We start from the raw sequence: 16,180 nt of genomic DNA, 5'->3' as shown, positions 1-16,180 counted from the left end.
TTCTTACAAACACTGAAGAAACTGTTCTGAGGAACCTAGGATAGCTTGCTTGGGAAATGTTACTCGACAGGCAATGCTTTCTTTGTTTCGTTACATCCATAGGAAGTCATAGCAAAAGCTCCCAAAGCCTGCTTGACAACAAGACTTCACTGCCTAAATAAAGTTCACAGGGTGTGGGTGTGTGTGTGTGTGTTTATATTGCCTTATTCTAAGTATAAAGATGATCAAGGATCACTAGGCAATTGAAAAAGCATCAGAAGCAAAATATTCATAAAACTTTCCACCACAGCTTCAGGAAATATAATGGAAAGATACTTCAGTCAACTTTTTAAAATGTCAACGTATTTGTGCGGCAAATCAAAATGAGAAAACTGTACCAAAGTTCTGTGTACTTATCTCTCCTCATGTAATTATTTGCATAGAATAAAAAAGTACCTTAATGAAATGGAGAGAGATTCAAAGTAAATTAAAATACCTCACAGGGAGGTTAACAGGTACTCTTGAATTTACATTTACATTCTAAAATATGACATTTGATCTGATAAAGGTATACACAGATTAAGGGACAAATACTTCAGAAAATAGATGTGCTCCTTTATTGAGAGTTGAAAATTAAATAATTTACAAGCATTATCGTAATTTAAACTTTAGAGAAAGTAATAAAGCTAGAAATGGATGCTTTTCTAAATTTAATAACATTTCAGCACATATTAGCCTGAATTTAATATTAGCCTGAATTTAATACTAGCCTGAATTTAATAAGTGAAATATATAAAACCACACAAACTAGAGCAGTTCAAACTAAAAGGACTGGCAATACTAAACATTAGCAAGGATGCAGAACAAACTATACTCCCATGCATCACCAATGGGAGTGTAAACTGGTACAACTACCTTAGAAAACAGTTTGACCTTTTCTACTAAAGGCAAATCAGTGAGTCCCTACAACTTACTAAAAGGTACACTCCCAACAAAAATGACTTCACATATGCTCCAGAAGACATTTGCAAGAATGATCTCTGTGGCATTATTTATGGTAGACAAGACATGGAAACAACTCGAGTGTGCCTCAGTTAAATTCATAAATGGAAAATACTGTGTTTATATATTAGAATACTTTCACATAATAAAAATGTAAAGCTGTAACTCCACATACCCAACATGTGCAAATCTTACAAACATCATGTAGACCAACAGAATACATTCTGTATGACTCCATTGATATAAGGTTCAAAAATCAGCAAAATTAAAACATAGTAGGGCCGGGCGCGGTGGCTCACGCCTGTAATCCCAGCAGTTTGGGAGGCCAAGGTGGGCAGATCACGAGGTCAGGAGATGGAGACCATCCTGGCTAACACGGTGAAACCCTGTCTCTACTAAAAATACAAAAATTAGCCGGGCGTGGTGGTGGACGCCTGTAGTCCCAGCTACTCAGGAGGCTGAGGCAGGAGAATGGCGTGAACCCAGAAGGTGGAGCTTGCGGTGAGTTGAGATAATGACACTGCACTCCAGCCTGGGTGACAGAGCGAGACTCTGTCTCAAAAAAAAAAAAAAAATAGTAAAGAGTAATATATTCTTAGGTGGTAAAGTCGGGTTGCAAACTTAAGGCCTGAACATATGAATAAAATAAATATTATTGAATAAAAGTCATAGTAGAGGTTATTTTTTAGACAGGAGAAAGTGCAACTGGGGACAGGAGCACAGGACCCTTCGGCATACTCTGCTAGCATCATACTGTTTCGTCACGGGGCAATAGCTATAGGGGTACACTTTCAAATACTTAATTGCTCTGTGCATTTATATTTATGGTTTTTTATATGACTGCTATATTTTTATAATTGTCTAGAAATAAAAGCAAGTTATATGATTTTTGTGAAATGTTTGCTTTAAAATGTGTTCTTTTTAAGTATGGTGTCACTTGTAGTCTTAAAGATCTGTTTATGAATTGGTAAGCTCCTTATTGACAAAATGTCTAACATCTGAGTCTGACCATATTCATATATCCTTGGGCACCCGGGCCAAGGATATTTTTAATAATCAATTTCATATATAGCCAACTAAAATAGCATTGTAGTAGACTTTTCAAAAGAGAGTAATAGCAACCCAGCATTTCACCAGTCACATGCTTCAAATAGATTTTAGAAAAGTTCTCTTTGTCTGTTAAAGCAGAGTTCTTTGTGATTTACCAGATAGAACGAGGTTGATAGTTAACTTCAAATGCCTTCAGTGGATTCCAAATCAAGAACAAAAAACGCACATACAGAGAGGAAAAAATTAGAAAACTTTCAAACAAATCTCTTGATGCCACTTCTCTGAAACTTAAAAGTGTTTAATGTGCTCAGAAAGAAATATTAAATATACTTAATGTCTTAAATACTGAACTTAATGTCACACTATTTATTATTTGTCATCTCTTGAAGTTCATTCTGAGTTCCTGCTTTATACAGGATCTCTGATACTGGTATTTCATGTTCTTGCAACAAAACCCATGGCATGTAGACACTCAATGAATATTTATTGAATAAATGGTAACATGAGAAGCTGAATAGCCAGAAAAGAAAGAGATTGCTATGAAGCATCCCATTGTAACTACTTAAAGGATGCAAGGTTAAAAGATAAAGGAATCCTTACCTTCTGAGCAAAAAATTACTCCAGAGTAATCTGTCTTTAATTTTAAATAATGTGATGTATTTCTTCCCCGGTGTGCCTTTCAAGAAGCATGATACAAAAGAGATTAGGAGGACATGGTGCCTGCCCCACATGTAGGTTTGAGATGAATGGTGTGAGGAATCCACCGGCCAAAAACAAATCCCACACTAATGCAGCTTCCATAATGCTCACTGGCCGATCCCTGTCTTCAGTGTCTAATCTGTCAGAATGCAAACACGCTACAGTGTAAAGTTACCATGCTATAATTAGCAACTTTGTGCAGCTTACATAAAATAGTTTGTTTACCAGATCCTGTAGGCACTCACTTAATAAGATCTCATAGGAATAAAAAAGGCAGCAGATAATTTGGATGAGTAGAGAACTGAAAAACCTACAGCCAGAGATCTAGGAGGATGAAAAAGGGGTGCAGGCCATGGACTTCTTGTAAGATTCAAGTCAAGAGCTATTTTATTTTACCTGTCTTTTTCTACATCTCTGAGTACAAAAATATGTTGGCTCAATCCAAAAAATGTATTTAGGGCATATTTTAAATTTGCCTAATATCATGTTAAGTGATGCTTTTAATGTACCCTTCCATTGGAGGGTTGGAAAGGTATTTGTTGTCAACAAAACCTAAGTTAAAAAAGAAAAAAAAAAAGTCTTGTTAGCTTCAAGTTAACTTTGGAAGTATGTTTTAATTTGGCATTCATAAAAACAAACTGAATTTTTTTCTTGTTTCTATTGACTTGCATTGTCGTCAAATAAAACATAATTTGCAAGTCAAATAGGACTTTTAGTCTAATAACATTCAGCCTCCTCAATCTTATAACTGCTTTCAACATGGGCTGATTCTTATGGTATTTGCCAACCATATTCCTGAATACTGTGGTTAAACTATTATTTCTGGATTTCTCAATTTTAGACACCATGTAGTGCTTTTCTACAAAGTATTAAAAACGAGGATCTAACTCTTATTTCTTACATCACACACACACACACACACACACACACAGGCTTCCTCTCCCCTCAGCCTCCCAATAGAGTTCTACCACAATTTTTAGCTAAGTCAGCAATAATAATTTATATTTTTGTCCCTATAAAATGTTATTTACAACTGAACCATGCACAGTATTATGATTCTTTTAAAATATAGCTTTTTCTTCTTAAATCCTTCAGTTAAAAAGTCTTAGTTTTTGTTAGTCTTGTTTTGCTTTTTGATGGTGTGACTTTTTTTTCCCCATGTACTTAGCACTAATTCCTCCCAAACACTACAGGAAAGGGGTTTTATAGTATGGTTAAAACTATGTAGCAATCTATTAGTTTACCACTTACTAATGTTCTTATCAATTTTATTACTTTAAAAATGATAACCCTGCACATCTGATTGATTGTTTTGGGGGCATGCTTCATAGTGCCATTTGGATCCTTTCACATCACCTTAAAACTCTCCTTAAGCATCACCCTGAGAAAGAATTGCTTTCACTTCCCTCCTTTGTTGGGATCACGTTTCCTGCATCCCATATCTTTTTGTTTGTTTGTTTTTTGTCTTGACACTACTTTCCTGTCATTTCCTGAGAAACTGTGCAGAGGAAGTAGGATGTTTGAGAGCTGGTGTATCTGAAAAGAACTTCATTCTATTTCCACATGTAATTAATAGTTAATTACAGGGTATAGAAGTCCAAGATGGAAATTGTTTACCTTCTACATGTTAAAAAATGCTTTTCACCGTCACTAGACACCTTTCAATTGTTGAAAAGTCTTGTACATCAGCAGTCCTCAACTTTTTGGCACCAGGGACCAGTTTCGTGGAAGATCATTTCTCCATGGACCAGGGAGTGAGGGGTGGTTTCAGGATGTTCCAAATGCATTACATTCATTGTGTATGTTATTTCTATTATTATTCCATTGTAATATATAATTAAATAATTATACACTCACCATAATGTAGAATCAGTGGGAAACCTGAGCTTGTTTTCTTGCAACTAGACAGTCCCATCTGGGGGTGATGAGAGACAGTGACAGATCATCAGGCATTAGATTCTCATAAGGAGTGTACAACATAGATCCCTTGCATGTGTGGTTCACATGATCTGATGGGAGGTAGAGCTCAGGCAGAAATGGAAGCCATGGGGAGTGGCTGTAAATACATATGAGGCTTCACTCATTCACCCGCCACTCGCCTCACGTTGAGTGGCCTGGGCTAACAGGCCGCAGACTGGTAACAGTTTGGATGTATTTTTTTCTGATGAAACTTTTGGGATTTTCTACTTGTGACAGTCTGAAATTTTACAATGATATACCATAATTAGGGTATTTTTCTATTCATTGTACTAGGCATTTGATGGTCCTTATCAATCTAGAAACAGTTGTCCTTCAGTTCTAAAAAAAAAAATTGTAAAATTTGTTAGGCACTCACTACAAGTACCCACCACCAAGACACATACTGTTTGTATTTTTCCTCCATCTCATTAGAGATTTCATTTTTTTTCCATTTATCATTGTATTTTTAAATTTTTTGTTAATGTATTTTAAATTCCCAAGATCTCTTTGGTCTTGTCTGAACTTTCCCTTTTTAATTGCTTCCTATTTTCTTTATTGCATTCAATATCTAATATTCTAATCTTGAGAATAGGCTTTATAGTTTTTTAAAAATGCATTTTGCTCCTGGCTTTATCTCTGTTTCTGCTAAGTCCATTTATCTACTTGTTTGTCTTGTATTATTTTTCATGTTGCAGCTTTCCTCATGTGTATGATGATGATTATTAGTTCTTTAGTCACAATGAACAGTAGGGCACCATAAACCCATTTGGAAGTACCGTGCTTGAAGATAAGCAGGGTATGTAAACTGATGCAAAGTCACTTAGAAAAAATTTGCCAGAAGAAATGGGGCTTGACCAATGATATGTAGTCAATAGTAGAAACAACACTGTGGTAAGTAGGTTAAGTTGAGCTGAATTTTGGACAGCTTTTGTTGGAGATGTCTGAGAGAGATCGAGGTCAAGTTAGAACAATGCAGGCAGTTGTAAAGAAAGATCTGGTATAATTGATGTGATATAAAAGTGATAGCTGAAACCAGATGATGGATTTAACTGCCAAGATAGACAAGCATATGAGAAAAAAGTCACTTATTCCCTGAGCATAATCTGAACTAAAATCCAAATTACTATTTGGAAGTTTCTTTTCACTTTTAAGGAATATCTTCCACATAAGCAACAGAAGAGCAATCATCAAAAAAAAAAAAAAAAAGAAGAAGAAGAAGAAACTACTGGGTGGGAAAATTGTCATATTGTAATTATTCAAAAGTATCCATAGTTAGGATAAAAATAATTAAGGTAAGTGGGCTGATAATAAAGATTTATTATCTTCAGCCTTCTAAGCACTTATCTAATTCATAACTAGTAAGCACTAGAGTATTGAAAGAGCCTTTCATGTCGCAGATTTTTATTGTAAAATATGAAACTCTACTGAATATTCATAAAGTCCTCCTGGGAATCATTGACAACTTTAGTATATACATGGGATTATTAACTAAACTGTTATGTGCACATTCATTCACCCATCCATTTACATATATATGCATATATATGTGTGTATACACACACACACACACACACACACATATGTACACACAAACTTGCCTTTGAATACACATTGAATTTGAGGAATTAAAAGAGAAAATTAGCAGGAGATATAACATGCTGGTAGTTTGGCCTAAGCCAAACTTCTCAAATGAGAAATTCTAAATTTCTCATTGGGAATATTTTGGAAGTTGATTTCTTTGCAAGATTCTCATTGGTCTTCAAAGTTAAAAGTTTAAGTAAAATGAAAAGTATAATTAAGTTTTAAGTTATTTAGATATTATCTTGATGTTTCATACTTCTGTGACTGGTCTTACCCATAGGTACTTCTCATTTTCAGGAAAATATACCTGTTCCTATTCATCTCCCAGGGACTGCAGGACTGAAGACAAAGTGAGCTCCATTGCTCTACCTCTGTGTATCTTCACTGTATCCATTCATGGCAATAGAATAGAAACAGAATGAAATCCACAAGTTCCCCACTATCCTGTCTTCATCACTGATGATGATGAAGAAACTGTATCATACCAGCAATGAGGAAAGAGCAGAATTCAGAATACCCAGATTTGAATTCTTGCTTTACTGTTCATAAACTATAAAAGGATGCAAATAAAATTATCAAGTAGCTTCAAAGGTTATAATGAGGAAAAATATAAAACACGTATCACAATGCCTGGCATGTAATAAACATCCAATAAATATTAGCTACTATAATAAAGCTAATAGCTAACCTTGGAGGGTTTACACTGATCCAGGCACCACTACTACAAGTACTGGGTCCTATCTCCAATTTCTCCATTGCCTGCAGAGAACAACTTATTGCTGATTTTTCTTTACCACTGTGCTATTAAAGCAGTTTGACCTCATAAATTACATTGTTCTATCTCGGGATCTGAGCTATAGTCTTATTTTCCTTCTTGTCCTTGCATTATGTATAATGCTGATTAAGAACAATAGAATTGAAGGGTGGAAGATGGGCTTCTTGCTTCTTGCACATAATCAAGAGCCAACAGAGCCTTAAGTTCTCACTGCCACTCAAGACACTTGGACAAAGGAATAAAACCAGAAGAAGGAAACAGGAAAGTGAAATTGAACCACAGTTTAAGGAAGGAAAATTATTTTAAAACAAAAGCAAACCTAAAAATGATAGCTAAAAGTAATACTTGGTTAAACTTTTATCTTAATTGTATACACAATAGAAGTAAGATATTTTCACTTTGATCTTAAGCATAGTATTTCAAAAAATGAAGGGAGTGACATTTTCAACAGACATATTGTTAAATGAATAATAAAGGATATAAGTACTCAAGAACAACTAGAATTCCATTTCTTTAATAATGAACTAGGTCTAAAATTATTCCAGGTATGTTAACATAATTTTGAGTGTGGTGGCTCCCTCAGTTGGGTAATTGGCCATTTAGTTCATTTATTAGATTACCATGACTTTGTAGCAGTACTCCTGTTACTATTATCACCCCAACGCATTATAAGAATTGAAGTAGCTGGACACGATGGCTCACGCCTGTAATCCCAGCACTTTGGGAGGCCAAGGCAGGCAGATCACGAAGTCAGGAGATCGAGACAATCCTGGCCAACATGGTGAAACCCCGTCTCTACTAAAATACATAAAAAATTAGCCGGGCATGGTATTACGTGCCTGTAGTCCCAGCTACTCGGGAGGCTGAGGCAGGGGAATCCCTTGAACCTGGAAGGAGGAGTTTGCAGTGAGCTGAGATTGCACTACTGCACTCCAGCCTGGTGACAGAGTGAGACTCCATCTAAAAAAAAAAAAAAAGAATTGAAGTAGTATCTCGGGATGTACTGAGTAAATGTACTGAGTAAATCAGAACTTGCTTCCATGATCTAGTAGTTCTGAAATTCAAAGCAAGTAATGCAATATTTTCTTAATTAATTTTCTTAATTCTGACTCTTGTACCCCCTCCAATAAACACACACACACACACACACACACACACACAGTCACTCTGAGAGAGGGAAATCTATAAAAATATGTTATTAAAAGTATTTTTAAAATTAAGGAGCACTTTTCTAAGTCCCAGATACAAAAAAACTTGTTATGTGATATTTACCTCAATTCTCTAGAAGTAAATGCTCTATTGTCTATATGCGTGTTTATATTTGTTAATAGGTATCTTGTCTATGCCTAAGCAAACACTGAGTGAAAGATTTGCATTATGAATGTATGTCAATGCAATTTATATTCTTTTTTTCTATTACATTAGTGAATTTTATTTTATTTTTAAGTTAATTTTATTTTAATTTTCGAGATACTTGTGCAGGACGTGCAGGCTTGTTACACAGGTAAACATGTGCCATGGTAGTTTGCTGCACCTAGAAACCCATTGAAATTCATATCCAAATATAATTTTTGCTTTATTTTAAAATCATTTGTATTAACTTTTGATTATTTTTCTAAAATCCCTACAGAAAACAAACAAAATATTTTATGTCAGTGTACGAAGGCAGCAATACGGAGAACTTGATAAGATGGTGAATGAAACATAAATACTTTATTTTCTGCTATCAACTTCAAGTCTATTTTCTTTAAGTTAATGTTTCTAGGCTTCTGCTAGATGGGTGGGTGATATGGTTTGGCTCTGTGTCCCCACCCAAATCTCACCCTGCAGCTCCCATAATTCCCACATGTTGTGGGAGGGACCCAGTGGGAGATGACTGAAACATGAAGGTGGGTCTTTCCTGTGTTGTTCTCGTGATAGTGAATGGGTCTCACGAGATCTGCTGGTTTTAAAAATGGGGGTTTCTTTGCACAAGCTCTCTCTTTGTCTGCTGCCATCCACATAAGATGTGACTTGCTCTTTTTTGGCTTTTACCATGATTGTGAGTACTCCCCGGCCATGTGGAACTGTAAGTCCAATAAACCTCTTTCTTTTGTAAATTGCCCAGTCTCAGGTATGTCTTTATCAGCAGCATGAAAACGGCCTAGTACAATGGGACATCCAGAGTGTGTGGAAACTGAGGATAGAAGATAATAGCACATTAGGGATGTAACAGTAAGAGAGAGGGAGATCATCAGAACAAAGAGAAGCAAACTAAAAAAAATAAGGATTCTCTTTTTTTTAACCTGTTAACATTTTATTTTTAATGTTTTGTACAGAACTCCCAAGTTCTCCAACTAGAACAGATCTCCAAAACAAAACAAGCAAAACTCAGGTACCAAACCATTACTTAAATAGCAAAGACTGTTCCATGTTTTTTTGATACACGCTCTTTTGCAAAGAGATAGACAGAGATAATGTGAACAGAAAACTAACAAGATAACTAAGGGGATTCATACATAGAACAAACCAACTCGAACCAAAGAAAAGCTATAAGCCTACAATTTTCCAAATAACAAAATGAAATGTAAATCATAGGAGGAGAATGAAATATACTAAATATTCAAATAGACAAAATTTCAAAATATAGAGCAAAATATAAAGTGACAAAATTGTGGTGGAAAAGATAAAATGCTATGACCTGGTTATGTAACATATAGATAATAGGCATTACAAAGGAAGAAAAAATAAATGAAGGAGATGCATTAATTGAACAAATAATAGAAGTTTTCCTGAAGTGAAAAAACACTTGAGTCTGCAGGTTGAAAGAACAAACCACAGACAGGACTGGGTTGATGAGATAAACCTCCACCTGGATCTATCCTACAGAAACTACTGAACTGGGAAAACAGAGAAGAAAGCTTATGGGCATCTGGGTAGATATGAAAGGTTGGAAACAAAATGAAGAGATCGAATTGGGGTTATCCTGTGCTACATTTGAAACTAGAAGGCAGTAGCCATAGATTTTATAGACCCCTGAGAGAATAGGACTTCAAGACTGGAATCCTAGTCTGGATCACACAATTTTCTTATTTGAGCAATATACAGTATTAATGATGTAGACTTTGTACAGTAAAGCAAGCCACACAGATAATTCATCTGAGTAAAGTGACAGAGGAGTGTAACCACACAACAAATGACCTGAAACAGACACCTCAACAAGATAGAGGAAGAAGTAACCACAAATTCTGACTCTTGTACCTCCTCCAATAAATGCACACACACACACACACACGTAAACACACATAATGATGTATGCTCCAAGAATATATGACATAAATTATAAAGAAAAACATTGAAAGAGCAGGATATACTTCAAAGCAAATTCTAATAATGGCCCAAAACCCAATAAATAACAGGCTCCAAGGAAAGCTAGATATTCCATAGGTGTGAGGTGGCAGCAAAATAAAAATAATCCAATTATTTCATTTGATAAAGGAGAGGGAGAAGGGTGGGCAGGAGACAAGTAAACGTATTCTTCCTGTCTCTTGGACTGAAATTGCAGTTGGGGAGTAAGGTGGGGGTAGAGTAGGAAAAAAAATCAGGATTTGAGAATCACTATATTTATGGGAAAATATAATATTGTTTTCAAAAATAGAGAAATATATGTTTAACTAGAGGTTAAAAGCAGAGGAAGATAACTGTGCAATATAATATCATATGTATAGAACTTTTAAATTAACAAGCAGAAATAAATGGACAGGACTGAAAAATAATAGGCCTAAAGAACATATACTAGAAGACAAAAGAAGAAACAATAAAACTTAAGACATGTTAAATAATATGGAAAGAATAAAACCATGTAGGTAAATACTACAATTAATCAAATTGCAAAGATGAAATATCATTATTATTTCTAATTAATAGAAACGAAGAGCTGGTACTTCAGGGTTTTCAGTCAGTCCTCTGATTATTACAGCCAATCTCTAATTGTTTGTTTAAATCCTATGCCACTTCCTCTCTAACTAACATCACTTTAAGAATATATTGGTTTTATTGTCAAACTGTTTTATCAATTTTCTCTGAAAAATTATCAATTTTGTGTCAATTGTCATAGAAATATTTAGTTAGCTTTCTTGTGTTGAAGTTGAGAAATATGATCTTTATGTAAGATTATGCAACAACTATTTTCTGTGTTATAATAGCAATATATAATTAACCCCACACTGGCCCCTCAGCTAAACATTGATGTAAAAATTTAGCTCATTTATGATAAAAGTATCTACAGTCTTCATATATCTCATACATTATAAGGAAAGTTGAAAAAGTCTTGTGGGTTTTAGATGAGTTTTCCAGCTACGTAAATATGAGTCATGGAAATGTATAGTAAGTTTGTTTCAGGTGCAAGTATTTTAATTATTTACACTGACACTGGTGAATCTCATTTATAATTTTGAATTCTGCGAAATAATGCCAGAGACATCTGATCATAAATGAATACCACATTTACACTTTTTAAACACATGCAAGCACACGACATACACAGGCGCCTCACTAGACCACATTTTTTTTGTATGTCCCCACTGTGAATATTCTCACCTTAATTTCGGAGCATCGATCCACATATTTATACATAGAATATATGTCATTGGAATATGAAATCCAGCTTATGTATTTTTCAGAAATCAGAAGTGAGGCCTTTAAGTATAAAATGAAAGTTTGTAGCAATGGCTATGTATCTGATGACACAGCAGTTTGGAGTATTTGGACCCCAGGATCAATGTAATGGGCATCCCACCAGGCCTAACACATTTTGCCTGACAAACGCTGGTTGAGCTGAACCCTACATAGCCAGAGATCTTCAGAGAAATCCAGTTATGTCAAATTTATTTCTAAATAGTTCACTATAAGAATTATCTTCTGCAAATAAGCTCTAGACTTCCTTTTTCTGTTCAGATGTAAAAAAAAAAAAAGGTATTTCATGGCTGATAAATAATTCAAATATTATTTTTCTCTCATGTTGCACCTCTTAGACTGAGTCTCAATGTTGTGGTGATAGGTGGGAACCAGTAACTAAAAGGCAGCAGCACGTTGACATGGTTTCCTAAGCTGCAGAGCAAGTATTCTGAAAGCTTATTCTTTCTTTGGGACAAGATGCTGGTTATTTTTGTTATAAGTATATTATCAAAAGTAAAGTGACTTCAAGAGAATGAGAGTATAACTCACACACAAAATATGCAACAAATATTAAAATCTCAACAATAAGAAAAAGAACAACCTAATGGAAATATGCATGAAAGATCTGAAGAGACTTCTCACCGAAGAAGATACATAGATGGAAAATAAGAACATGAAAAGGTGCTCAATATCATATGTCATTAGGGGAATGAATATTAAAATAACAGTGAGATGCCACTACACACCTAGTAGACTGGCAGAAGTCCAACAACATCACCAAACGCTGAGGAGGATGGGGAACAACAGGAACTCTCTTTGCAGTTGGAAATACAAAATGGCACAGCCACTTTGGATTATAGCTTAGCAGTTTCTTACAAAATTAAACATCCTCTTACCATATGGTACAGCATTCATACACCTTCGTATATACTCAAATGAGTTGAAACCTTATGTCTGCATCAAAACCTGCAAATGAATATCTATAGCAGCTTTACCTATAATCATCAAAATTTGGAAACAACTAAGATGTCCTTCAGTGGGTGAATGAATAAACTGTGATACATTCAGACCATATAGTATTTTTCAGCACTAAATAGAAATGATCTATCAAGCCATGAAAAGACACGCAGGAATCTTAAATGTATATTACCGAGTGAAAAAAATCTGGAAAAGCTACCTACTATATGATTCCAGCTATATGACATTCTGCTGATAGCAAAACTATGGGGACAGTAAAAAGTAAAAAGGATCAGTGGTTGCCAGGAGTTAAGGGAAGGGAGACACGAATGGGCAGGGCACAGACAATTTTTAGAGCAGTGAAACTACAATGAATACAGCAATGAATCTACAATGGTACACAAGTGTGTCAAAACCCATAGGATGTATATACCAAGAGTACACCCTAAGGTAAACTATGAACTTTGGATAATAGTGATTTGTCAGCATAGGCTCATCAACTGTAACAAAGCTACCACTGTGTTGGGGATATTTATACTAGAGAAGCCTGTGTGTGTTCAAGTCAGGGAATATATGGGACCTCTCCATGCTTTCTGTTTAATTTTGCTGTGAACCTAAAATTCTTCTAAAAGCAAAGTCCATTTTAAAAACATCAACAACAAAGTATAATTATCTTTAAATTATTTTTTCAAAAGGTTTTTTTTAAAATTTTATTATTATTATACTTTAAGTTTTAGGGTACATGTGCACAATATGCAGGTTTGTTACATATGTATACATGTGATATGTTGGTGTGCTGCACCCATTAACTCATCATTTAGCATTAGGTATATCTCCTTATCTCCTAATTCTATCCCTCCCCCCTCCCCCCACCCCACAACAGTCTCCGGTGTGTGATGTCCCCCTTCCTGTGTCCATGAATATGGTAAATCATGCAACAATCAAAACTACCACAGATTTGGCCAATAGTTGCAATATTGAAGACTGTATTTTTAATGAATAACTGACTAGTTTGAATCATATGAAATCATCGCCAACTGTTTTTGAGCTTTAAAAGGCACAAATTAATATGTAACAAGCTAATAAACACAGTACTTTAAAACTAGGGTTATTCTGGCAAAGTTAAATATATGTCCATCTTTTCAAATCAATTTTTCTACCATTTTCCAGATCCAATTTTCCCCAAACCATTTATTAGTACTGCACCACACTTCCTGACACTCTTGATTCTGACCAGTATTTTACTTGAAATTTTGTCAGTACGTAATAAAAATATATTTAATTATAATGTAAAGAATATATATACTTCAATCTCTTTAATCAATTCTCTTTCTCATTCACTACATTGTAAGCTTTTTTGATGTTGAGACTATGATTTGCTTATCATCTATTATTTTCTAACTCCCACTATCTGTATCCAGTGGATACTTAAAAAAATAATGATAATTGACGGTTACATTCAGGAACCATAACATAATTTATTGTAACTGTTGCAATACATTACGTTATGGTTAAAGTGACTCCAAAAGTTCTCCAAGGATTGCAGACTCCTTTATGGCCTTGACCAATCACCTGGGCTGTGTGAACGATAATCATAAAAATCCTCTCTCTGAATACAGCATCTGTCTACTACTTAAAAGGGCATGGATAATATCCTCTGTAATGCCCTAAGGCTGTTTCTTGACATCTGGCAGCAATTTCTCTATTCATGTTTTGAGGCCAGAAGGTGACAAATGAGAGAATGTCTGACAACAGTGTGCTACCCCTGCTTTCAATCTATGTGCATGATGATGGGGATATCTAGAGCATCACGGAAATATAATAAACTCTTGCAGTAAACACATTTCTCCTGGCTATACAATGATGTTTACAACATGACCACTTTTAAACTACTTTCAAGAAAATTATCATATTTAAAATAGATAGTAAAGAACATGAAAATCCATTTATCATAACATAAGAGACCTTATAGATGATTCCTGAGTTTTTTTTTTCCTTTTACCTAGAACACAGACAATGCACAATAAGAATGCTTTAGAAATTCGAACATATTTTAGTGTACTCTGCTAATTCACAACCTCTCACAAGATATATGAGTTTCCATATGGTTTATTAAAAAAGAACCCTATTGTGTTTTAACCACAGGCTCTTGTTCTTGTATATAAATAAGATTGCATATACTTAAATGTTAAATCTCACCCTGAAACTGCCGAATTTTTCCCTATGCACACAGTAATTACTGTATCTTTTATCCAAGGAAATGGAATATTTTCTGTTGCTTACACATCATTTCCAATAAGAAATGTGTTAATGGTAGAAAATATTTAAGGGACAATTAACATGAAATCCATTAACTCTAACCCACTACCTACCAAAGAGAAGCTACTACATACAGTAATCAGTGTGCACAAATGAAAGTATGGCTCTGTTGAGTCAGTGATTTCCATGTGCTGGGATGGCTTCTGGCTTCATCTCTTAACTCTGCTCAGTCTCCGTCAGTGACCCTTGGCCGTCTCCAACTACTCAAGCTGCAAACAGACTGAAACCAATTTGTTTTCCTTATGTTTTTAAAGCCACTAGCCTGGTATGCTAATTAGAAATAAATCGCTTGACCCATAAAAGAAACGGCAGGAAACCTGAAATGAAGGCATTATCCAACACTTCATGCTCCTTAGTGATGCCATTTTAAATATTTCAGACAGCCTATAAATAATTAAAACCTCACCACAGCAAATTATGTCCTATTATGCAAATAAATAGCCTCCTCCCTGGTTTCATTAAAGATTCTAAATGACAAGCTGAGCAGTTTAAACATAGCAAGGTATTGCAGCGAGGCGAGAAATCTTTCAATATTTTTTTAATTGTTAGTGCCAAGTTTCATGTGGATTTTTACTCTAACACTTTAATTTGCATGAGCAAATAAACCTTTAATAAACCTTTTGTAAGTGGAGGAAATGCATCATTTAATTAAATTTGATTTGTTGTGAAACTATTGTGCCTCATGCATATTTAACAGCCACAAACTCTCCTTTTTACTGAAAAGAGTGCAATATTACATAAGAGAATAATTTTCAAAAGTGAACTGACAGTATCTGAGAAATTGAGAGTAATCAATAAATCCTTTGGATTAACTTTTCAATAACGTTGATAGACCTGCACACATATAAATATCAATTGAGTGCATAAATTTAGCTACTTCATGTCAAGTTTCTATGCATACTTTTTGAAACCAATATCAAAAACAGGTTTAGTTTGTGAAGGTTTCAAAACTAATTTGTCAAAACTTTCAGTCTTAGTTTCTGTTTCCTTAAGGTGTTTGATTCACGTCAAGTTAAAAGAACCCTGAGGATTATAAAGTAGACTACATTCACTGTAATACGCTGTGGGGGGAAAACACCCTATTTTTTTAGTCTACAAATGTTCTATTATAACAGAGATGCCACAGAATAGAGAAATGCACTCTAGTCAAAGTATATAGATATCTTGGCCCATAAATAATTAAAATATTATATTCCCCTGAAG

The 16,180-nt window shown here is 34.8% G+C and overlaps 1 annotated feature.

Moving 5' to 3' along the window:
- Positions 14,868–15,838: an enhancer, noted in NCBI's record as "VISTA enhancer hs886". NCBI's record gives its function as "enhancer in: forebrain[9/11]" and the evidence as "EXISTENCE:transgenic organism evidence [ECO:0001131][PMID:17130149]".

This window comes from Homo sapiens, chromosome 4, assembly GCF_000001405.40.
Source record: "Homo sapiens chromosome 4, GRCh38.p14 Primary Assembly".
Classification (NCBI taxonomy): Eukaryota; Metazoa; Chordata; class Mammalia; order Primates; family Hominidae; genus Homo; species Homo sapiens.
The sequence above is the reverse complement of the archived record's forward strand: the minus strand, read 5'-3'. Positions and strand labels throughout refer to the sequence as shown.